Source organism: Homo sapiens, chromosome 7, assembly GCF_000001405.40.
Source record: "Homo sapiens chromosome 7, GRCh38.p14 Primary Assembly".
Taxonomy (NCBI): Eukaryota; Metazoa; Chordata; class Mammalia; order Primates; family Hominidae; genus Homo; species Homo sapiens.
Window position 1 is genome coordinate 66,872,661 of NC_000007.14, and position 26,283 is coordinate 66,898,943.

The 26,283-nt window shown below is 44.1% G+C and overlaps 2 pseudogenes across 1 annotated transcript in view; both read left to right on the top strand.

Moving 5' to 3' along the window:
• Positions 1-11,613, top strand: part of GTF2IP23 (general transcription factor IIi pseudogene 23) — a 36,824-nt pseudogene extending 25,211 nt beyond the window's left edge. The window contains exons 5-7 of the transcript NR_135738.1: positions 8,049-8,543; positions 10,233-10,307; positions 11,593-11,613. The product of NR_135738.1 is annotated as a general transcription factor IIi pseudogene 23 (transcript). The remainder of the gene's footprint in view (positions 1-8,048; positions 8,544-10,232; positions 10,308-11,592) is intronic.
• On the top strand, positions 18,528-18,631 carry RNU6-1254P (RNA, U6 small nuclear 1254, pseudogene; annotated as a pseudogene).

Genomic DNA, 26,283 nt, shown 5'->3' on the forward strand with positions numbered 1-26,283 from the left:
ATTTTTTTTGAGATGGAGTCTTGCTCTGTCACCCGGACTGGAGTGCAGTGTTGCGATCTCAGCCCACCGCAAGCTCCACCTCCCAGGTTCATGCCATTCTCCTGCCTCAGCCTCCCGAGTAGCTGGGACTATAGATGCCCGCCACCACGCCTGGCTAATTTTTTGTATTTTTAGTAGAGATGGGGTTTCACTGTGTTAGCCAGGATGGTCGTGATCCGCCCGCCTCAGCCTCCCAAAGTGCTGGGATTACAGGCATGAGCCACCATGCCTGGCCTATCTTTTTAAGAGACAAGGTCTCATCCTGTTTTCTGGGCTGGAGTTGAGTGGCCCAGTTGTAGCTCACTGCAGCCTCAACCCTCTAGGCTCAAGTGATCCTCCCACCTCAGCCTCCCAAGTAAGTGTGGGATCACAAGTATATGCCACCAAGCCCAGCTAATTTTTTATTTTTTTTTGTGGAGACAGTGTCTCCCCCATGTTGTCCAGGCTGGTCTCGAACTCCTGAACTCAACTGATCTTCTTACCTTGGCTTTCCAAAGGGCTGGGATTGCCAAATACTGTGGCTCATGCCTATAATCCCACCACTTTGGGAGGCCAAGGCAGGTGGATCACTTGAGCTCAGAGTTCGACACCAGCCTGGGCAGCATGGTGAAACCCTGTCTCTACTAAAAATACAAAAAATTAGCCAGGCGTGTCGGCATGTGTCTGCAGTTCCAGCTACTCAGGAGATTGAGGCAGGAGAATTGCTTGAACCTGGAGGCGGAGGTTGCAGTGAACTGGGATTACACCACTGCACTCCAGCCTGGGTGACAGAGTGAGACTCCAACTCAAAAAAAAAAAAGAAAAAGTGCTGGGATTACAGGCGTGAGCCAACATGTTTGCATTTATCTAGTTGAAGCTACGAGGAGGTAGGAGGGCCTAGTTGTCCTTGGTGTTTTGACGTAAGGGCTAGACAGTGGATTGATTTTATTAAATATTGCTAAATATTAATAAATTTATTAAATCCATTAAATATTGTTAAATATTAATACATTTATTAAATTTATTAAATATTAAGTATTATTAAATTTATTAAGTATTACAGGTTCTTTTACACCACAAAGCTAGATAAACCCTTTACCAGCCCTGAATAATGGCTTCCCCTTTCTTTTTTCCTTTGTTCTTTTTGTCTGGGGAAGGGGGACCACAGAAGTATTTAATAAAATAGCACTTGTGGCCAGGTGCGGTGGCTCATGCCACCCCAGCACTTTGGGAGGCTGAGGTGGGCGGATCACCTGAGGTCAGGAGTTGGAGACCAGCCTGGCCAACATGGTGAAACCCCATCTCTACTAAAAATACAAAAAATTAGCCAGGCGTTGTGGCGGGTCCTGTAGTTCCAACTACTTGAGAGGCTGAGGCAGGAGAATCGCTTGAACCGGGAGGTGGAGGTTGCATTGAGCCGAGATCATGCCATTGCACTCAGCCTACATGACAGAGTGGGACTCCGTCTCAAAAATTAAAAAAAAAAAAAAAAAAAAAAAACCACTTGTGCTGAATGTGGTCTTAAAATAGTTGCAATCCAGGCCAGGCACAGTGGCTCATGCTTGTAATCCCAGTGCTTTGGGAGGCCGAGGCAGGCAGATCACTTGAGGTTAGGGGAGACTAGCCTGGCCAACATGGTGAAATCCTGTCTCTACAAAAAATACAAAAATTAGCTAGGCATGGTGGGGGGTGCCTGTAATACTGGGGAGGCTGTGGCAGGAGAATCGCTTAAGCCCGGGAGGCGGAGGTTGCAGTGAGCCGAGACTGCACCACTGCATTCCAGCCTGGGTGACAGAGTGAGACTCTATCTCAACAAAGAAACAAATAAACACCTATAGTTGTAATCCTAGACCTAAATGCATATCTACCCTCTTTCCATTATGAAAAGCCAAGGATGAAATCAAACTATAAAGACAGCAGGGAAGGAGGACCACTATCTTGCTCTTTCACTCCCCTTATATATTTTTTAGCATATTCTCACACCTCTGCTGTTTGTGTATTTTTTATATGTTTTAAAGATATTTTAACCCAGTCTTGCATTTAAATGTTCAAATTTTAGGGGCCCACATGTTTTATCAGTTTTTCTTTGTTTTTTATTTTTTTGTTTTTTTTTTTTGAGACGGAGTCTCGCTCTGTTGCCCAGGCTGAAGTGCAGTGGCATGATCTCAACTCTCTGCAACCTCTGCCACCTGGATTTCAGCCATTCTTCTGCCTCAGCCTACTGGGTAGCTGGGATTACAGGCCCGTGACACCATGCCTGTCTAATTTTGTATTTCTTTCTTTCTTTTTTTTTTTTTTTGAGACGGAGTCTCGCTCGTCACCCAGGCTGGAGTGCAGTGGCACTACCTCAGCTCACTGTAAGCTCCGCCTCCTGGGTTCACGCCATTCTCCTGCCTCAGCCTCCTGAGTAGCTGGGACTACAGGTCCCTGTTACCATGTCTGGCTAATTTTTTTGTATTTTTAATAGAGACAGAGTTTCAACGTGTTAGCTAGGATGGTCTCGATCTTCTGACCTCATCATCCCTCCCCCTCAGTCTCCCAAAGTGCTGGGATTACAGGCATTAGCCACCATGCCTGGCCCTAATTTTGTATTTCTAGTACAGACAGGGTTTCATTATGTTGCCCAGGCTGGTCTCGATCTCCTGACCTCATGATCTGCCTGCCTCGGCCTCCCAAAGTTCTGGGATTACAGGTGTGAACCACCATGTCCGGCCCAGTTTTTCCTGTTCTAAGGAAACAGTTGAGTAATAGCTTTGCTCCTCCTTTAACCTAAATTATTCCTTTCACGAGGTTAGTGACTTCTGACAGGCAGAGGTAGGTAGTCTGAAGCCTGATTACCTGGTCCCAAAGTGGAGGAAATGGAGCCCTGACCCAAACAAATAGGTAGTAAAGGTAAATTAAAAATATGAAGTTATTTTGAAAGGCATATGTTGAGATGTTTAATATTTCCAGCCCTGTCTGGTGCACCGTGTAGAACTTCTCCACCTTATCATATGTCACTCTTAATAGTTCCTTGTATATCCGTCCAGTGTTTATGTAAATAAAAGCAAATATGAACGTATGTTCTTACCTCCTCATACTCTTTTACACAAAAGGTAGCTCATATAACCTGTTCTGTACTGTTTTGCCCTTAACAGTATGTCTTGGGGATCTTTCCTTGTTGGTACAGAGAAAGCTTTCTCATTCTTAAATCAGAGCTGCATAGTATTGCATTGTGTGAATGCCTGCCTCCTACTTTATTGAATCAGTTCCTTATACATGTGCACTTCAGTTGTTTCCAGTATTTGCTCTTACAAGCAATACTTCAGTAAGCAAAGGCAGCTTTTTTTTTTTTGAGACGGAGTCTTGCTCTGTTGCCCATGCTGGAGTGCAGTGGCATGATCTCGGCTCACTGCAACCTCTGCTTCCTGGGTTCAAGCAATTCTCCCACCTCAGCCTCCTGAGTAGCTGGGATTACAGGCGTGCACCAGCATGCCCGGCTAATTTTTGTATTTTTAGTAGAGATAAGGTTTCGCCATGTTGGTCAGGATGGTCTCGAACTTCTGACCTCAGGTGAGCCACCCTCCTTGGCCTCCCAAAATGCTGGGGATTACAGGTCTGAGCCACTGTGCCCGGTCAAAGGCAGCTTTTTTATTTTTATTTTTTTTTGAGAGAAAGTTTGGCTCTTGCTGCCCAGGCTGGAGTGCAGTGGCGTGATCTCGGCTCACTGCAACCTCTGCCTCCTGGGTTCTAGTGATTCTCCTGCCTCGGCCTCCTGAGTAGCTGGGATTACAGTCATGTGCCATCATAGCCGGCTAATTTTTTGTATTTTTAGTAGAGACAGGGTTTCACCGTGTTAGCCAGGATAGTCTCGATCTCCTGACCTCAGGTGATCCACCTGCCTTGGCCTCCCAAACTATTGGGATTATAGGTGTGAGCCACCGCGCCCAGCCAAAGTCAGCTTTTTAAAGGGTTGCACAGCACTGCATATGCTACTTAAAATGAGATTATTATTCTTCATTCTTAGAATCCCAGTTAGTTTTATTGGTTGATAAATTCCCAGTTACTCGTACTCACAAGCACAACATTGATGATGAGTCTGACATATTTTTTTTTTCTTTTTTTTTTTAATTGATCATTCTTGGGTGTTTCTCACAGAGGGGGATTTGGCAGGGTCACAGGACAATAGTGGAGGGAAGGTCAGCAGATAAACAAGTGAACAAAGGTCTCTGGTTTTCCTAGGCAGAGGACCCTGAGGCCTTCCGCAGTGTTTGTGTCCCTGGGTACTTGAGATTAGGGAGTGGTGATGACTCTTAAGGAGCATGCTGCCTTCAAGCATCTGTTTAACAAAGCACATCTTGCACCGCCCTTAATCCATTCAACCTTGAGTGGATACAGCACATGTTTCAGAGAGCACAGGGTTGGGGGTAAGGTCACAGATCAACAGGATCCCAAGGCAGAAGAATTTTTCTTAGTACAGAACAAAATGAAAAGTCTCCCATGTCTACCTCCTTCCACACAGACACGGCAACCATCCGATTTCTCAATCTTTTCCCCACCTTTCCCCCCTTTCTATTCCACAAAACCGCCATTGTCATCATGGCCCGTTCTCAATGAGCTGTTGGGTACACCTCCCAGACGGGGTGGTGGCCAGGCAGAGGGGCTCCTCACTTCCCAGTAGGGGCGGCCGGGCAGAGGCGCCCCTCACCTCCCGGACGGGGCGGAGTCTGACATCTTTTCGTAACTCAAGAATCATTAGTATGACTGCCCCATGGAGGCATACTGCTCTCTCTCAGGTTTATTTCAATAATAAAACCTTTGGAAATTTTAATAGTGAAACCTACTTAAGGCCCTTTGCTCAAGAAGTCAGAATCACTGATCACTGCAATTACTCCCATGGCAGCTATAGAGCAACTTAACAGGATAATAGTGAATAAGATAAATTACACTTCAGATTCTTAATGGATTGATGTGCAAAAGTATATAAGGGAAGATGAGTGTGGGAGAGGAGTGCCTTTCAAATTTCTGCACACAGCAATAAAATAGGGAACTGGGCCATTGTAGCCATTACTGTTAGGGATTAGTCATCTAGTAACAAGCTCTGGGGCTCAGTGGTGGGTAGCACATCCTGTTTATTATAGACAACAAATTGGGTTAATTCTCTTGTTTGTGTGTCTCTGTGGAGGGGTTGGAAATTCTAGGTGATTTGCTAATTGTCTGATTTAGAATACTCCCCTTTCTACTAAATAATTAGTGTCTTTGGTGTGAAAATAGGGAGGCAGACCAGTTTTACAAATAGCTGCTGGCCTGGAGAATAACAGTTTCTACCAAGTGAGTGGTTAAAAAAGGCAGCCTGGAAAAATAACTGTGGGATGGTAAGTGTTTCTTATTTTCAAGGCTAACATAAGTTCTTCCTATGTGTTGGGGATGGAGGAGGGGATGGGTCGGTTAAGAAGTGAGTACAGTGCTTGCTTTTGCTTTGAGTGTCCCTCAATTTGTGTTTAGGAAAGAAGAGTGAGTATGTGGTTATATGGGTAGGGGGTGGGCCAGGGAAGGGGCCCAAGGTAGGAAATTCAGGAGACTTCACTGTAGTTCCACCCTTAGGGATATCCTTGGCACCTGGTCACATTATGGATGCCTCACCGTCTGCTGGGTATCAATTTTTTTTTTCTTTAGAGATGGAGTTTCACTCTTGTTGCCCTGGCTGGGGTGAAATGGTGCAATCTTGGCTCACTGCAATCTCCACCTCCTGGGTTCAAAGGATTCTCCTGCCTCAGCCTTCCGAGTAGCTGGAATTACAGGCATGTGCCACCACACCTGACTAATTTTGTATTTTTACTAGAGACGGGCTTTCTCCATGTTGGTCAGGCTGTTCTTAAACTCCCGACCTCAGGTGACCTGCCCGCCTTGGCCTCCCAAAGTGCTAAGATTACAGGCGTGAGCCACCTCGCCCAGCCAATCACAATTTTAAAAAACCACCATAGCCTAGTTAATGATGCTTATTAGCTTATTGCCACTAATCATTGTGCACACTCACTTCCTATATCAGAGTCTTTAAACTGCCCAATTTTTTTTTTTTTTCAGATGGAGTCTTGTTCTGTCGCCCAGGCTAGAGTACAGTGGCACAATCTTGGCTCACTGCAACATCTGCCTTCTGGGTTCAAGGGATTCTCGTGCCTCAGCCTCCCGAGCAGCTGGGATTGCAGGCATCCACCATCACGCCCAGCTAATTTTTGTATTTTTTAGTAGAGACGGGGTTTTACTATGTTGGTCAGTCTGGTCTCAAACTCATGACCTCAAGTAATCTGCCCACCTCCGCCTCCCAAAGTGCTGAGATTACAGGCGTGAGCCACCGTGCCCAACTTAAACTGCCCAATTTTAAGGGAACAATTGGGAAAACACTTGTTTAAAAAGGAAATGAAGGAGTTGCCACGATTGTGGTTAGCTGTGTGAAGACCCTAGAAAACCTATGTAAACTCCTGGGGGCTCACAGTCTTACTGCCTGGTCAAGAACCTTAGAAAACTTAGATGTACGTGTTAGGAGACCAGGTCTGAAAGCTCCCAGGGTTGTATAAACTTCTATACTAAGTTCCATGATACCCGATGGGTAGTCCCACATTTAGACATGCTATTGCTATTGCTGCTTCCTTCCTTATCATGAAAAGAGCAGAAGATGCAGACAATACATGAAGCAGGAAGACAAAGGGGAGACACTGAACTTGTCACCTACCTTTGGGTGCCCCTCATGCTTCATGTTTCCCATTGAGCCTCACTTATCAGTGACACAGGGAATGGTCCCTTTGCTGTCCACTTTCCCCGTGGCTGCCTGGAGGTAGGAGAGGCAGATCGTGTCACTTGCCGAGATTATGTTGCTGTGGATTCGTTGGAGGGACAGGAACAGGAAATCTTCCTGGTGGTGTATGTATCACTGGGGCTCACAGGGGTACTTTTTAATCTTCTCACTGGCCTCTGATTCTGTGACCCTGGTTATTATATGTTCAGAAAGTGTCAGCTTATTTGAAAGTGATACTCTTATTTTCTATTTAAACACTGCCAAAGACCATCACGCTTTTTTTTTTTAATTGAAACATTTTGGTATTTTTTATTTTTTGGAGATAGTCTTGCTCTTTCATATGAACATGAAGGGACTCATCGTCCTTCCCCTGCAGTATGTCTTTAATTTAATAACATGTCAATGAAGGGTCATGTCTGAATGAATTATAGAAGTTCAGGACCTAAAAAAGGAAGGTCCCAGAAACCGGGCTTTGGTTTATTTCTACTACTACACTTGCTATTGAAACTAAGCAGGCAACTTCATTTCTCTTGGTTTCAGCTTTCTCATGTGTCAGGATGGGAGAGGAAGGGAGGCGTTGGGATAAGTGTCATTCCGCTGTCTGTACTTCAAATCTGGCTAACACGTGTGGCAAATACTTAGATTTGTTGACAGAGGTTTCCTGGAGTGCTGTCTTGAACGATTCTGAGCAGGCTCAGCAAGAAAGTGTGTTTGAGTTGATTGGGTGTATCTGTCATGGAGAAGGAAGTAATGAATGGGGAGTGCTCCCAGCATTCCTGGGGCATTCCTGTTTATTATCTCAATACCTGGTGCTGATGTTTCCTGTCCCTTATCAGGAATCCTGACTACTCTGTGTCTGATGACTGGAACTTACCGAGCGCTGCTTAGTTGCATCATAGACACCACCTGTCTTTGAACAGCTACCCTGCCTCTTGATGAGAATGCAAAGGCTGCCAGGGGCCACTGCTGTATGGAGTGGATTTCGGTCATTTCTGCTTAGAGCACAGAGGTCATTTTGACTAATAACATAACTCTCCTTTTGATTGAAAGTGTTAAAATGTTCCTCCTAAAAGTACTTATTTTTTAGGCTTATTCTTCAGATTTGCCCAATATCCTAAGTAAAATGCCTTCAATATGAAGTGGATATTGCTTGATTGTAGGGAACTTGTCCATAATGTACTTGAGAATGCAGATACAAATAAAAGAATGTCTGTGTCAAATTTTATCTTCTACAAATTATGTTCTCTTGCACTTTCAGCTCAAGCTGTTGGACTCGCCGAGGCAGTAAAAGTACCATATCCTGTGTTTGAATCAAACTCCAATTTCCTGTATATAGAAGGCTTGCCAGACAGGATTCCCTTCCGAAGCCCTACCTGGTTTGGAATTCCATGACTTGAAAGGATCCTTCGTGGGAGTAATAAAATCAAGTTTGTTGTTAAAAAGTAAATTCTAGGCGGGACGTGGTGGCTCACATCTGTAATCCCAGCAATTTGGGAGGCTGAGGCAGGCAGATCACCTGAGGTCAGGAGTTTGAGACCAGCCTGGCAAACATGGTGAAACCCCATATCTATTAAAAATACAAAGAATTAGCTGGGCGTGGTGGCAGGTACCTGGAAACCCAGCTATTTGGGAGGCTGAAACAGGAGAATCACTTGAACCTGGGAGGCAGAGGCTGCAGTGAGCTGAGATCACACCACAGCACTCCAGCCTGGGTGACAGAGTGAGACTCTGCCTCAACAACAACAATAAAAAAGTAAGTTCTATTTGCCACTGTAGTCATTTCTGGAATTAAAACAATAAAATGACATTTCTACTAAAATGTTTTTCTAGCTAGAGGTGACAAGTGTGGCTGTAAGTCCTTGATGAAAAGTCTGGCTCTGAGCTGCAGTCCTGGCACTCTCCATTGACCCCGCATCCCATACTCAGTCGTCTTCATCAGTACAAGAATAGTGACCCCTGCCTCCACGATGTTCAGACACACTGTGGTGGCTTGCACTATGCCTAAGTACTTGAATGACATTTAATCTGCTGGGTTTTATTTGCTTTGTTATTCCTGGGTCAGTCTTGTTGGGGACTAAATATTGACGATTGAGTTTCCTTCCTTCTTTTTTCTGAGACAAAGTTTCACTCTTCTTGCCCCGGCTGGAGTGCAATGGCGCGATCTTTACTCAGTGCAACCTCCGCCTCCCAGGTTCAAGTGATTCTTCTGCCTCAGCCTCCCGAGTAGCTGGGATTACAGGCATGTGCCACCATGCCCTGCTTTTTGTATTTTTTGTAGAGACGGGGTTTTACCAAGTTGGTCAGGCTGGTCTCAAACTTCTGACCTCAGGCGACCCACCCGCCTCAGCCTCCCAAAGTGTTGGGACTAAGGTGTGAGTCACTGTGCCCGGCCTGATGATTTTTTTATTATATCTGTGTTTCTGCAGAGTTTTAGTGGCTAAAGAAAGTACACTAGTGTTAATTTTCTTTTTCATGAAAGAAGTAATTTACTATTCATTCAGTTACTTGCCAGTCATGGGAAGGAAAAGTCAAGATTTTCATCCACAATGATAGGAATTATTGTGACATTACAGGATGACTCTGTGGACACCTTTAGGAAAAAACCCTGGTCATATCACAACCATTTTACTTGCTGTGAGACCACCATTGTACTGACTACTGTAACATTTCTTGGTTTTCTAGACCTGAAGTAGTTATTTTCTACTTGCCTCCTGGAATGGCTAACAAAATAAACACTAAAGGTAGAAGATTACCTGTACTTCATATTATATTTCACTGCATTAAGACATCCTTTCTCAGCATTCCTTAAATCACACAGAATCATTGGCCACTATCTTTGTGGGACTTGCAGTTAGTTTCTTGGCTTTTGAAGGTGTTTTATTTAATGGACCTCTTTTTCTTTAAAAAAACATTTTATTGGAAGTGTCACATTTGCAATCCCACTTCATTCATGTTTCCATGGCTTTGTTGAGCCCCCTGTGGAGGATTACACTACAAGTTTAATTCTGCAGGTTTCTTTTTTTTTTTTTTTTTCTTGAGACAGTCTCGCTCTGTCAACCAGGCTGGAGTGCAGTGGCGCAATGTTGGCTCACTGCAACCTCCGCCTCCCGGATTCAAGCAATTCTCCTGCATCAGTCTCCCAAGTAGCTGGGGCTACAGGTGTGTGCCACCATGCCCAGTCAATTTTTTGTATTTTTTTTTTTTAAGTAGAGACGAGGTTTCACCATTTTCGCCAGGCTGGTCTCAAAACTCCTGACCTTGTGATCCACCCGCCTCGGCCTCCCAAAGTGCTGGGATTACAGGCATGAGCCACCGCGCCCAGCCACAGGTTTCTTTGAAAAGGGCCAAACTGAATGAATTTTAATACTCTGCCCTTATAAGGCATCTCCTTCTGTATTTTTTTCCTACAATAGACTAAAGTAATTCTGTGCTTATTTTATAGCTTTGCAGTCCCCAAAAAAACCATGAAGCCCTGAGAGTAATGAAAAGCTTCCTGACATTGAGGTCACTGTGGAAGGTAAGGGCCAGTCCTTGGCATGTTTCTGTTGATTCTCCAGTGTAATAGTTATGTCAATTCACTAGCTATGTGTTTATACAGTTGAAGGTAACCAAACTAGTTGTACATATGAACAGCTGCCTTTGATAAAGCTAAATTTCTGAATGTTTTTAATTGAAATTTTGAAAATGATTAACAAAAAATAAATAACATGGATCACATCATAAACTGCACTCAAGAAAATCCCTAAAATGCTTTTCCTCTATTACAAAAAATAGGGGTGCAGAGGGTCATGTGGAATGTTTCTTTGCCTTTTGTCCTCTTTGTTTTTTCTATTCTTTTAAGGAAAGAAAGTTGGGTAGTTTAAACAGCAGTGCCTGGAATGAAAGTATTTCCTACAACACCCTCTAATGTACTTCCTTCTCTCCATTCCCACAGGGTCTGCAGGGTTCTCATCTTTTCATGTTCACAGTATTGAAATACATTATACAATACCAAAGACAGTTCCCAACGAACCCTCAAATATGGGTATTTCTTCCATCTCCTCATAAATGCAAAAGGAAATAACTGCGTTAGGATCATTCTTTTTTTTCTTTTTTTTCTTTTTTTTTTTTTTTTGGAGATGGAAGTCTTGCTGTGTCCCCCAGGCTGGAGTGCAGTGGCATGATCTCAGCTTGCTGCAGCCTCTGCCTCCCAGGTTCAAGCAATTCTCCCACCTCAGCCTCCTGAGTTGCTGGGACTGCAGGTGCACGCTGCCACGTCCAGCTAATTTTTTGTATTTTAGTAGAGACGGGAATTCACCATGTTGCCCAAGCTGGTCTCGAACTCATGAGCTCAGGCAATCTGCCACCTTAGCCTCCCAAAGTGCTACGATTACAGGCATGAGCCACCGCACCTGGCCTAGGATCATTCTTTATGTCCTAGGTGTCAATTTTTTAAATAGTTTTCAGTACTGGTGTTTAGTGGTGCAGTAATTTCCATTTAATCATCTGGCATACTCAGAGAGAGGATACCAGATGACTAAGAGTATACCTCACAGAGAGTATACCAGATGACTAAGAGTATACCTCACAGAGAGTATACCAGCTGACTAAATGGGGACGAGAGCGAGTATTTAAACGTTTCATTCATTGATCCTGTTAAGGGAAAGTTTACTTAATAACATAAACTCTTGGTTATGAATTAGATGTTTCTCCTATGAAAGCTTGTAGGCATCTTTTAGCAACTTAATACCAGATTATTTCTGTTCTGAAATGCCAAGAATTAAAAATACATTCAAACCTTTACTTTTCTCCTTTTGGAAAAGATCAGAGGATCAGAGATCTCTCCTCTACACGAGGTGCCATCCTTTCCTGAAGGAGCTCCTTGTAAAGTGCATGAGGTGTTCCTTTTGGTAAAAAGACACACTGCGCAACCACAGAGACCTGAGCCTGAACCTATAAAGATTTGAACAAGGTGAACAATGACACTATGTAAAATATGTGCCACCATGCCTGGCCTCTGCTAGTCCTATATTCTCTAGAGTTCTTTTTTTGGTAGCCAATCTGTCATTATGCCTTTGCCCTGTCATAATTAGTTTTTTTTTTTTTAAATTTTAAATTTGACACTTTACACATTTGAGTGGTTTATGTCTCCTGTTTGGACTCTGACAAATACAGAATTGATGCTAGGAAGGGTCCTGGGAGATAGACCCACACAACTGGGATTTGGGCATAGATTTGGGTATCCAAGGGGCAGTGCTGAGCTCCTTGCCAATGGGAAATTGGATGCTGGTGATTTCCAGGAAGTGACCTCATAATGACTCAAGCTACCACTTACTGTTGATTGTGATGAAATGCCAGCTAAGGCATATGCCTTGGGAGCTAAGTGGCTGCTGCACTTGACCACTATGAAGACTGGTGTGGGAAGAATCCTTTTGGATTCTCCAGCCTGTGTTGCCCAGGCTGGAGCACAGTGGTGTGATCTGCTCACTTGAGCAGAGGCCCCTAATCCCTGGGTCACAGGCCTGTACTGGGCCACACAGCAGGAGGTGAGCAGAGGGTGGGTGAGCGAAGCTTCATCTGTATTTACTGCCACTCCCCACATGACCACCTGATCTCTGCCTCCTGTCAGATCAGCGGCAACATCAGATTCTCGTGAGCACGAACCCTGTTGTGAACTGTGCATGCAAGGGATCTACCTTGCTCTGTCCTTAGGAGAATCTAATGCCTGATGATCTGTCACTGTCTCCCATCACCCCCACATGGGACCATCTAGTTGCAGAAAAACAAGCTAAGGCCTCCCACTCATTCTACATTATGGTGAGTTATATAATTATTTTGTTATATGCTACAATGAAATAATAATAAAGTGCACAATAAATGTAACGTGCTTGATATATCCAAAAACTGACCTTTGCTGCCCCGAGTCTGTGGAAAAACTGTCTTACACAAAACTAGTCCCTCGTCCCTCAAAAACTGAGGACTGCTGCACTTGAGCACTTACAGAGGGAAAAACAAAAAGCTCAAGTCTTTACCTCTCAGCATAAGTCGTGGTCTAAGATCCACGATAGCCCAAACAGAATTTCTTATTTCTTGTATCCACGGGGCTGATATCATTGGAAGTCAAACACAAACTTAAATGTGTGGGTTGCCGAATTACAATGACAGTTGAATCAGTTGAATTCACTGTGTCACCAAGGTTCTCAAGAGAATGTTAGGGCACTAATAAGTGAAGAATGGGATCTTTTTTTTTTTTTTCTTTTGAGACAGTCTCCCTGTGTTGCCCAGGCTGGAGCACAGTGGTGTGATCTTGGCTCACTGCAGTCTCAACCTCCCAGGCTCAAGCTATCCTTCTGCCTCAGCCTCCAGGGGAGGTGGGACCACAGGGATGAGCCACCATGGCCGGCTAATTTTTGTGTTTTTTTTAGAGATGTGGTTTCACTGCATTGCTCAGGCTGGTCTCAAACTCCTGGGCTCAAGCCATCCACCCACCTTGGACTTCTGAAGTTTTGAGATTATAAGCAGGAGCCACCATGCCCGGCCCTGTTCTCTTTTACACTGGTTTATTGTGAGGACCTCCAATTGTCTTCCTGACTTCTATAGGCTTGCTCACTTCAGCCTGTTCACTGAAGCCAGAAGAATTCTCCTAAAAGGCAAATTTGGGTCAGAATAGTCCTTGATTAAAACCTGATGGTGACTGCCCATTGCCTTTAAGACAAAGTCCAAACTAATTTGGCCACAGGGCCTGGTAGGAGCTGGCATCCACTCATCTTCCCAGTTTTATCCTGCACCACCCTCCCCATATCCCTACCCTCCAGCCACACGGAATGTCAGTTTCCTTGGGGGACTTTACTGGTCCTTCTTCAGGAAACCCTCTCCCTACCTCCATCATCACTCTTTCACTCTCATCTTTACTCATCTTTAGCCTTAGCCGAGATGTCTCACCCCACTCTCTATGATGCAACAAGAAGCCCCTGGGGAACGTTTCAGTCCCAGTCTGTACTATTGTCATGTGCTCATCACAGTCTGGTAAGTGCTGGCATACGATTCCTAAATTAGTCCATTTTGCATTGCTGTAAGGAAATACCTCAGGCTGGGTAGTTTATAAAGAAAAAAGGTTTATTTGGCTCACAGTCCTGCAGACTATACAAGTAGCATGGTGCCAGGCTGGGCGCAGTGGCCCACACCTGTAATCCTGGCACTTTGGGATGCTGAGGCAGGAGGATTGCTTGAGCCCAGAAGTTTGAAACCAGCCTGGGAAACATGGTGAGATCTTGTCTCTAGTAAAAATTAAAAAATAGCCAGGCATGATAGTGCATTGATGCATACCTGTGGTTTCAGCTACTTGGGAGCCTAAGGTAAAAATATCTCTTTATCCCAGGATGTCAGGGTTGCAGTGAGCCATAATTACACCACTGCTCTCCAGCCTGAGTGTCAGAGTGAGACCCTGTCTCAGAAAAACAAAAGCATAGTACCAGCATCTGCTGGTGAGGACCTCAGGAGGCTTCCACTCATGGCGGAAGGTGAAGGAGGAGCCGGCATGTCACTTGTTGAGAAGAAGGAGCAACGGAGAGAGGAGGAGGTGCCAGGCTCTTTAAACAACCAGCTCTCACGTGAACTAGTAGAGAGAGAACTCACTCATTACCTTGGGGAGGGCACCAAGCCATTCATGAGGGATCTGCCCCCACGACTCACACCTCCCACCAGGCACCACCTCCAACATTAGGGTTTCAATTTCAATATGAGATTTGGAGGAGACAAACATTGAAACTATATCAATTTCCTGCTACCCTATAAGCTACATGAGGGCAGAAACTCTTTTTCTTCTCTTTTTTCTTTTTTTTTTTTGAGACGTTTCACTCTTGTTGCCCAGGCTGGAGTGCAGTACCGTGACCTCAGCTCACTGCAACCTCTGCCTCCCAGGTTCAAGCGATTCTCCTGCCTCAGCCTCCTAAGTAACGGATTACAGGCATGCACAACCATGCCCCACTAATTTCTGTACTTTTAGTGGAGACGGGGTTTCACCCTGTTAGTAAGGCTGGTCACAAACTCCTGACCTCAGGTGATTCACCTGCCTCGGCCTCCCAAAGTGCTGGGATTACAGGTGTGAGCCACTGCTCCTGGCCAAGGGCAGAAACTCTTACACCTTGTTCACTGCTGTTTCCTGGGCACCTATTATAGTGCCTGGTATATAGTAGGTGCTCAGTAAGTGTTTGTTAGGGACTGATGCGTTGGTTCAAGCCTGTAATCCTGTTGCTTTGGGAGATGGGGGCCAGAGGATTGCTTGTGCCCAGGAATTCAGGGCCAGCCTGGGAAACATAGTGAGACCCTGTCTGTAGAAAAAATAATAAGCTGGCCAGGCGTGGTGGCTCACGCCTGTAATCCCAGCACTTTGGGAGGCCAAGGTCTGCAGATCACCTGAGGTCAGGAGTTCAAGACCAGCCTGGCCAACATGGTGAAACCCCATCTCTACTGAAAATACAAAAATTAGTCGGGCATGGTGACACACACCTGTAATTCAAGCTACTCGGGAGGCTGAGGAAAGAGAATCGCTTGAACTCAGGAGGCAGAGGTTGCAGTGAGCCGAGATCATGCCACTGCACTCCATTCAGCCTGGGCGACAGAGCAAGACTCCGTCTGAAAAAAAAAAAAAGAAAAAGAAAAACTAATAAACTTAGCCAGGTGTGGTGTTACATGGCTGTAATCCCAACTACCTGGGAGGCTGAGGTGGGAGAATCACTTGAGCCCAGTTGATGGAAGCTGTAGTGAGCCATAATCACCTCGCCGTACCTCAGCCTGTGTGACTTAGGGGGACTCTGTCTCAAAAAAAGTAAAAAAAAGAAAAAGAAAAAAGAAATATTCATTGGGGAAAAGAAGAGTGAACAAGCAAAGTTTCAGGAGAGTACTGTGAATGTGGGTCATGTCAGTAAAGTGTAGGGACTTGGGCAGGAGCGGCTGGACTTGAAGAGCAGGTTGGTGGAGACCAGGTCATTTATCCTAAGAAGTTTGCCCTGTAGCATGTAGATTAAATATCCCACGTTGGCTGCTGGCAACTGAACTGGGCTTCCTGTTTCTGTGTTTGGTTTGACCATCACAGTGTTGAAGAACTGTTGAAGTGAATACCTTGCAGTTTGCTACAGTTTCCCCCGGTCTCCCACATTACTCTGGCCTCCTTACCTCATGTAGGTTGCCTGACCCTCTGAGACCTGTGTTTGCTGTTCCTGCAGATGGGTGGGTATGAGGTGATTTAAGGAGGAAGATTTAATATATGAGTTGTAGAAAGATAAATAGACTGGGCGCAGTGGCTAAAGCCTGTAATCCCAGCACTTTGGGAGGCCAAGGCAGAAGGATTAGTTTGACCCAGGAGTTCAAGACCAGTCTGAGCCACATAGCGAGACCCCCTCTCTACAAAAAATTTAAAAATTAGCCAGGCATGGTGGCATGCACCTGTAATCCCAGCTACTCGGGAGGCTGAAGTGGGAGGATAGCTGGAGCCCAGGAGTTGAGAAAGCTGCAGTAAGTGGTGATCTCGCCACTGCACTCCAGTCTGAGTGACAGAGTGAGACCCTATCTCAGGAAGAAAAAAAAAAAAAAAAAAAAGCAAGAGAGATAAATAGATCCACCATTAGTGGGAGTGTGCTTTTGAGTGCTCTTTAGGAGAAAAATTTATTTTAATATTTTTTCTTCTTTATATTTTTTATATTCTAGCAAGCCATTTCTTCAACAAGGAGAAATTAATTTCATCCAAAGAGCCCTAAGAGCAAGGGCAGACTCAGAAAATCAGAGGCACTGTAGTCAGTTTGAGCAGCTTATGTCTTCAGACTGCTAAGCTGGCCAGTGCCAGGCTGGGTCCCTTTAATTTCTCAAACACAAATCGCCCTGCTGGAATCTCAAGTTGGATCTGCAGTAGATCACCATTAACTCAGCAGCTTGCTTTGTTGTGAGTCCTTATGCCAGGAACTGTGCGGGATACAAAATGTAAGAGAAGGCTGGAATAGAGCATCTCCTGGGGAAATGAGAGCCAGAGATACAGCGGTGCCCCATGGAGACAGCCAGCTGGTGTTTGGTAGTTCCTTGTGGAAAGGCTGTACTTTGGTAAGGTCTCCATATCTGCAGTGTGGCCTTCAATATTGTAGGTCCCCAAACTCCAGGTTTTTACATTCGCTGCATAGCTCAGGGTCGTAGGGAGTGATTCATCCTAGCAGAACTCTGGTTTTTAAGGCAGGCGTTCCATTTATTAATTGACAAAGGAGGCATATTTCTCCTTTAGTAACCTGATGATTTAGGTCCTTTCTTCAGGGACTCCCTTTCCACATAAAGGTTCTTGGAAAACTAAGCAGAGTATGAGGAAAAGGCTGTGAACAAGCTTGCTGGTCCCTCCCTGTCCTAAAAAAGAGCATACCTCTTCTGTAACCAGAAAACCCTTTTCACTAGTCAAGGCTGTGCAGACTGAGATGAAAGTGTGTGTGTGTGTGTGTGTGTGTGTGTGTGTGTGTGTGTGTGGACAGGGTCTCACTCTGTCACCCAAGCTGGAGTGCAGTGGTGAGATCAGAGCTCACTGCAGCTTCCACTTTTGCAGCTTCCACTTTCCTCCTCCCACTTCAGCCTGCAGAGTAGCTGGGACTATAGGACTGTGCTACCACACCCAGCTCATTTTCTAATTTTTCGTAGAGATGAGGTTTCACTGTGTTGCCCAGGCTGGTCTTGAACTTCTGGCCTTACGGGATCCTCCTGCCTTAGTCTCCCAATAGGCTGGGATTATAGGTATGAGCCACTTCACCTGACCTGTGATGAGTTTTCAACAATGTGATTCCTCTTTTACAGAACCACCTAAGCTAAAGATTCTTTTGAGAACAAGGGCTAGCCTGTGGTTTCATGGCCTTTCTTCCATTTGGGGTTCTTGCCAAGTGGAATTTAAATGACCTCTTATCAAGATGGATAAACCCAAGTTTCCCAGTGCTGGAATACAGAAAATGGATGGACAAGTAAGTCCCACTCAGCACCCATAGCCCAGACATGGGGACCTCAACACACCTGGGCCCCAGACATCACCTTTCATTGTGGGTAGCTCAGAGATGACACTTTTGGTTGTTAAGTGCCCACTGGCAATAGTTTCTATAACAGCAAGTGAAGGAATAAATAGTCACCAAAACATTTTCTGTTCCCAATTCCAACATTAATTGGGTGAGATAATTATTTTATGAAGAATTGTCATATGGCACAGTCCTGGCCATATCTTCAAGTGAACAGAAAAATTCTATTAAAAAGTCAACCTTCTATCTCACTCTGTTGCCCAGACTGGAGTGCAGTGGTGCAATTATGGCTCACTGCAGCCACAACCTCCTGGGCTCAAGCAATCCTCCTGTCTCAGCTTCACAAGTAGCTGGGACTACAGGTGCTTGTCACTACACCTCACTAATTTTCCCATTTTTCCTATATGTGGATTGCACAGGACTGACTCAAAAACTTGAGTATGTGTGGATTTTGGTATACATAGAAATGGAGGAGCTGGAACCAATCCCCCCATATACCAAGGGACAAATTGTGTCTGTTTCTACAGTTATACTGTAGGATACATTATGTTCCATGACAATGGTAATTTTTAATGACAGTTTTTAATTGAGTGGAATTACCATAAAAATAATAAAAGTAGCAGCTAATATTTACTGAGCTGTTACTAGGTGCCTATAAATATGATAGATTTTTGAAATTCCCCATAACTCTTCCTTATTCCACTTAACCACTCTATCTTAAATTACTCATGCTTGCTTCGGTAGCACATATACTAAAGTTGGAACAATAGAGAGATTGGCATGGCCTCTTTGCAAGAATGTCATGCAAATTTGTGAAGCATTCCATATATTTTTTAAAAAGAGAAAAAAATTACTCCCAGATTTTCACTGGGTACATATGACCTTTTGTTTGAATTATATCCAAAGATGATATTTCCAGAAGTGAGATTACTGTGAGTCACAGGGCATGAGCATTCTTATTACACCTGATGTAAATTGTCGAGCTTTCAGGCATGGTGGCTGTCTGCCTTTAATTCCAGCACTTTGGGACGCTGAGGTGGGAGGGAGGATTGCTTGAAGCCAGGAGTTAGAGGAGGCAGTATAGGGAATCACTGTCTGTATTATTTTAAAAAGACTGCCAAGCTTTACTCTCAAAGGCTTATATACAATTTAAACACCACTAATAGTGTAAAAAAATTGCCCATTTCAGGCCAGGCGCAGTGGCTCATGCCTGTAATCCCAGCACTTTGGGAGGCTGAGGTGGGTGGATCACGAGATAGAAATCGAGACCACCCTGGCCAACATGGTGAAACCCCGTCTCTACTAAAAATACAAAAATTGGCTGGGCGTGCTGGTCTGTGCCTGTAATTTTAGCTACTCGAGAGGCTGAGGCAGGAGCATCGCTTGAACACAGGAGTTGGAAGTTGCAGTGAGCACGCCACTGCACTCCAGCCTGGCAATAGAGTGAGACTCTGTCTCAAAAAAAAAAAAAAAAAAAAAAAAAGAAAATGCACATTTCATTGCACCTTTGCCGGCACAGGGTATTATAATTTAACAAGTTATTTTTTGTTTGACTATTTTTAATAAATAAAATACCTAGTATTACTTTATTTTTATTTGTCATATTTTAATATCTTTCCTTGTGTTAGCTTATCAGCTTTATTTCTTCATTGTCCTTTTTTAATTTTTGAGACCAAGTCTCACCCTGTCGCCGAGGCTTGAGTGTAGTGATACAGTCTTGACTCACTGCAGCCTTGACCTCCTGGGCTCAGGTGATCCTTCCACCTCGGTTGCTGAGACTATAGGCACATGGAACCATACCTGACTAATTTTTTTTATTTTTAGTAGAGACGAGGTCTTGCTATGTTTCCCAGGGTATTCTGGAATTCCTGGCCTCAAGCGATCCTCCCACCACCCCCTCCCAAAGTACTGGTATTATAAGTGTGAGCCACCATGCCTGGGCTGTCTGTGTCTTTTCCCTTTATTTATAGAGTTAATGAGTCTTTTACTAATTTGATTATCTATTTTTTATGAAATTATAAAAATAGTAAATACTTTTAAATAAAGAAGTGAAAATTTTCCTTCACTCTTTAGACCCACAATTTTATCTCAGGAAATAATTGCTATTGCAAAAATGGGCCATATTCTTCAAGATACATATAGGCTAATTGGACATCACTTCACATTTTCATATTTCGTGGACATCTATGCCAATACCTATTGATCTATCTTACTCCTTTTCATGGTTGCATAATATTTTATTATATAGATGTATCACAGTTTACCAGTCAGCCACTGTAGGCGTTTAGGCTCCTTCTAATGTTTGCTTTGAACTCTTTATATAATTAAAAATTAACACCCTCAGCCAGATGTGGCAGCTCACACCTGTAATCCCAGCACTTTGGAAGACTGAGGTGGGAGAACTGCTTGAGGGTAGGAGATCATCACCAGCCTGGTCAACAGAGTGACACTTTGTTTCTATTAAAATTTTTTAAAAAATGAGCTGGACATTGCAGTGCACACCTGTAGTCCCAGCTACATGGGACGCTGAGACTGGAGGATCACTTGAGCCTAGGAGGTTGAGGCTGCAGTAAGCTATGATCACACCACTGCACTCCAGCTTTGGTAACAGAGTAAGACTGTGTTTCTTAAATAAAATAAAAATCAGGTGGGAAGATTGCTCTAGCCCCGGAGGTAGAGGCTTCCATGAGCTGTGATTATATCACTGCAGTCCTGCCCACGCAATAGAGCAAGACCCTTTCTCAAAGAATAAAATAAAATAAAAATTAACCCTTTATCATATTTCCCACTAACACCTTCCATCCTACGTTTTTCCTAGAAGCCCTTGAATTTTGTTTGCTTTTCACATACCATTTAAAACTTTTAAGTACTGATGTCTGTTTCATCCCTCCTTTTTTTTTTAAAGGATGTCTTTTTGTCACTTCCAGCTGGATCTACCATGAAAGACGTCAGAGTCCAGGAAGAGAGACTGACTGGGCAACATGTTATTCAGGTACAAAAAGACTTGGACTGTAACTAAAAAATGATCAAATAATAGTGCATACATCAAGAACAATGGAAAGCACTTCTGGAGGGTGAGAGAAGCTTCCAGTTAAGTTGACATTGAAGCTGGGTCCTGAAAGATGAGGAAGAGTTGTATGAGAGTGAGGAGGGAAGGAGGAGGTGGAGGGATGGGGAATGGGCTGGGATGGGATGGAGTGGGCTGTCCAGGTGGGGAAACCAGCACTGTAAAGACCTGGACAATGAAGATGGCACATTTTGTTCAGGGAATGGTGAAGTAAGAGTGGCAGGAGTGCTTTGGAGAGACAGTAATTTGCTTGTATGGAATTTTGCCCAAGAGACCTCATTACAGTTTCTAATCTTTTGATGTTATCATCCATCACTGTCCTTGTCAAATAGTTTGGAATAGGTATGATGATCACAATAACATCAAGCATAATATTTCATTAATTCTCAGAATTAGAGAAGATGATGTGGTGATGGAAGAAGAGGTCAGAGAGGGAGATTTGAAGATGTTGCAGTTCTGGCCTTCAAGATGGAGTCAGGGGCTATCTTCAAGGTGAGTCAAGGAATGGGGTGGCTTCTAGAAGCTGGAAAAGACAAGGGAGCACATTCTCTCTAGAGCCTCCAGAAGGAATGCAGCCCCTCTTACACCTTGACTTTAGCCTTAATAGGCCTAGTTTGGGCCTCTGGTTCCCAGAACTATAATATGGCAGATTTTTGGTGTTTTAAGGCACTAAATATAGGGTAGTTTGTTGCAGCAGCAAGAAGAAACGAACATGAGCCAGGGGCAGTTGCTCACACCTGTAATCCCAGCACTTCAGGTAGCTGAGATGGGGAGCATCGCTTGAGCCCAGGAATTTAAGACAAGCCTGGGCAACATAGTGAGACTTCTTATTGAAAAAAATTTTTGTTAAATTAGGCAGATGTTGTGGTATGCACTTGTAGTCTCAGCTCCTAGGGAGGCTGAGGTGGGAGGATTGTTTAAGTCTGGGAGGTTGAGGTTGTTGTGAGCTGTGATTGAGCCACTATACTCCAGCCTGGGCAATAAAGCAAGACCCTCTTTCAAGAAAGAAAGAGAAAAGAGAGAAAGAAAAAAAGAGGGAGGGAAGGAGGGAAGAGAGGGAGGAGGAAGGAAAGGAAGGAAGGAAGAAAGGAAGGACGCATGACAGATGGAAATGTTAAATAGAGTGGTGAGGGTTGGCCTCACAAGTGAAAATTGAGCAAAAGCTTGAAGCAGGTGATGGAGCTGGCCAAGGTGCTGAGGGAAGAGCGTTGTAGGCTGAATCAACAGGATAAAGGCATTAGGAGACTCCCTGGTGAGTCTGAGGCTCTGGAAGGAGGCCAGTGGAGCAGAGAGAGAGAGGGAGAGAAGTAAGGGAGCAGGCCAGGGAGTTGCTAGGCGGTGATCAGTATAGATCGTGTAAGCCCTGGGAGGCTATTGCTGAGGCTTTGACTTCTATTCTGACTGAAATGGGAACTGCAGGAGGGTTCTGAGTAGAGAGGCGACATGATCTGTCTCCTGATTTAAAAGCACCCCCTGGCTGCTGAGTTGAGAAAGACTGTGGGAAGATTTGGGTAGAAGCATGGGGGCCAAGCTGTGTCAGCATCCAGGTGGGAGATGGTAGTGGTCCTGACCAGGGTCATGGCTGTGGTGAGAGATGGTCAGAACCTGGATAGATGTTGAAGTCAGCCAATAGGATTTCCTGACAGACTGGGTGTGGGCTGTGAGATAAGGCAGGGGTCAAGGTTGAGCTTGATTCTAATGGAATTATTAAGTAATTTTAAAAAACACTGCTGCCTTTCCCAATCCTACCAAGTAAAGGATGCTAGATGAAAGAAATCTCAAGTCGGGCCAGGTGCAGTGGCTCACACCTGTAGTTCTAACAGTTTGAGAGGCAGAGATGGGAGTATGTTTTAAGGCCCAGGAGTTGGAGAGCAGCCTGGGCAACATAGCAAGACATCCTCTCTACAAAAACAAAATAGAGAAATTTAATACAGTAAACTAAATACAGCTGAGCATGGTGCTGTGTACCTATGGCCCCAGTTACTCAGGAGGCCGAGGTGGGCAGATCTCTTGAGGCTAGGAGTTTGAGTCCAGCTTGGGCAACATAGCAAGACTCCTCTCTTTACAAAAATTAAAAAAAAGAATAGCCTGACATGGTGGCACTTGCTTGTATTCCCAGTTAGGGGTAGGCTGAGGCAGGATGATCTCTTGAGTCCAGTTGGACGAGGCTGCAGTGAACTATGATTATATCACTGCACTCCAACCTGGGTGACAGAGCGGGACCCTGTCTCAAAATACAAATACAAATAAAATGAAATTTCAAGTCAGACCAGTCCCTTCTAGGCTATGGAGGCCTTGCAGCCACATAGCTGCATGATTGAGTTTGTGTGGCTGTGGATGAGGAGACCCCTGCCTAATTATTGTTGGCTATATAATCAGTTTATTTTTAATTTTAGTAATCAGATATATTTCCTCATACTTGATGGTCTCAGATATGTGTGGGTTTTGGAATTCTCCTTGGAACAGGTTGTAACATCTTATTGGTTTCATCATTCCGTAATTTTTTTTATCTGATCACTTTTTAATAAGATCAGAATTGACATTAGACTACCTAATCAGTTTTGATTAATGAGAAAATGAAATTATGTTGTTTGCACTTTATCCAAGATTGGTTTCATATTGGCTAAATCTAATCAATACTTGAACAAATGCAAAATTAGAGCTTCTTTATCATGAAACACTTTGTCATTCTTGAAGAAGATGCCATTTCTTTTTTGTAGCCTTTAATAAACAGCTGCTATCATTGCAGACTTGCTATTCAGGCACTTAGGAATTTTTCACTAGAAGGCATGTAAAGAAAGACCATGGGCATTTGTAATGAATTTAGCATTCATTGTTTGACTGCATGACTGTCCCCAGAGCTGTAACTTTACTAACAAATTTTTCAGAATCCACTTAGCTGGCAGCTGAGCCTAACCAGCCACTAACCATCATTATTCAGTGCTCTTTTATTCTTATCTATTTCTCCTCAAACTTGGCTACACTCAAAAAGTGATAAAAACTTGCATTTCTTTTCTTTCCTTTTTAGAGAGAAGATCTTGATCTGTGGCCCAGGCTGCAGTACAGTGACATGATCATGGTTCACTACAGCTTCAAACTCCTGGCCTCAAGCCATCCTCCCACGTCAGTCTCCCAAGTAGCTGAAACTACGGACATGTGCCGCCATGCCCAGCTAATTTTTTATTTATTTATTTACTTATTTATTTTTTCATAGAGATGGGATCTTGTTAGGTTGCTCAGACTGGTCTCAAACTCCTGACCTCAAGTGATCCTCCTGCCTCAGCCTTCCAAAGTGCTGGGATTACAGGCAGGCATGACCACCTGTGCCTAGCCCCTTATTATTATGTTTTTAAATAATAGCTTTATTAAAATATGATTCACACACCATTCAATTTATTGAAATCTGCAGTTCAGAATATTTTAGAATATTCACAGAGCTGTGCATCGATCACCGCAGTCACTTTTAGAACCATTCATTACTCTATAGAGAAATCTGCACCCTTAGCCATTACATCCACTCCCCCAACCTGCCTTTGCCCCCAGCCTCAGGCAACCATGGATTCATTTTCTGTCACTACCTAATCTGGACAAATAGAATTGTACAATAGGTGATCTTTTGTGGCATTTTTCCCTCTTAGCACAATGTTTTCAAAGTTCCTTTATGTCATAGGGTATATCAGTATTTCATTTTTTCTATGGCTGAATAATATTCCATGGTAGAGACACACTGCATTTTGTTGATCCATTTATCAGTTGGTGGACATTTGGGTTGTTTCCACGTATTGGCTATTATGAATAATGCTGCTATGAAGATTACAGTACAAGTTTTTGTGTGGACATATATTTTTATTTCTCTGGGATATATGCCTAGGAGTGAAATTGTTACATTATATTTTACATTTAACCTTTTGGGAAACTGCCAGACTGTTTTCTAAAGTGGCTACACCAGTTGGGTGCAATGGCTCACACCTGTAATCCCTGCTACTCAGGAGGCTCATTTGAGAGGATGGGTTGAGCACACAAGTTCAAGACCAGCCTGGGCAAGACAGTGAGACCCTGTCTTGATTTTTCTTTTAAAAATCCAATTAAAATGACAAGAAAAGAAATACCCAAAGTGGTTACACCATTTTATATTTCCACCAGTGATGTATGTGGGTTCCAGTTCCTCCACATCTTCACTGACATTATTTTTTTTTTCTAGACAGGGGCTTGCTCTGTCTCTCAGGCTGCAGTACAGTGACGCCATCACAGTTCACTGCAGCCTTGACCTCCCAGGCACAAATGATCTTCTCATCTCAGCCTCCTGAGTAGCTGGGAATTATAGGTACACGCCATCATGCCTGGCTAATTTTTATATTTTTTTGTAGTGATGGGGTTTTACCATGTTGCCCAGGCTGGTCTCTTACTCCTGGCCTCAAGTGATCTGCCCACCTCACCCTCCCAAAGTTCTGGAATTACAGGCTGAGCCATCATGCCTGGCCTTCACCAACATTTGTTATTGTCCATTTTTTTTCGTTTATACCTTAAAGCAGTATAAGAACAAGTGTTTTCAATTATGGTAAACAAAAAATATAATCCCGGGGCATTTGGATGCTGAGACAGGAAGATCTCTTGATGCCAGGAGGTTTTTGTTTTGTTTTGTTTTGAAACAGAATCTCACTCTCGCCCAGAGTGGAGTGCAGTGGTGTGATCTCAGCTGCCTGCAGCCTTCACCTCCCAGGTTCAAGCGATTCTCCTGCCTCAGCCTCTTGAGTAGCTGGGATTACAGGTACATGCCACTACTGCCCGACTAATTTTTGTATTTTTAGTAGAGACGGAGTTTTGCCATGTTGGTCAGGCTGGTCTCAAACTCCTGATTTCAGGTGATCCCCCTACCTCAGCCGCCCAAAGTGCTGGGATTACAGGCATGAGCCACTGTGTCTGGCCTGATGCCAGGAGTTTTAGACCAACCTAGCAAGACCTCATCTCAACAGAATATTTAAAAATTAGCCAGATGTGTTGTTGCTTGCCTATAGTCTCTTTTACTTTTTGAGACATGGTCTGGCTCTGTCAGCCAGGCTGGGGTGCAGTGGTATCATCATGGCTCACTGCAGACTGAAACTCCTGGGATCAAGTAATCAGTCCTCCCACCTTATCCTACCAAGTAGTGGGGACCACAAGTGCATGCCACCCGGGTCTTGCTATGTTGCCCAGGCTGGTTTTGAGCTCCTGGCCTCAAGCGATCCTCTCACTTTGGCCTCCCGAAGTGCAAGGATTACAGGTATGAGTCACCATGCCTGGCCCCTACCCTGCCTATTGAGAACCATAAGAAAGAACCAAATTCTCCTTAGCTCAACTCGAGCCATTTCCCAATTGGTTCTTCCACAAGGAGCTGGTTATTGAGCTGTCCAGGCCTCCCAAGCAGCACAGAAATGAGG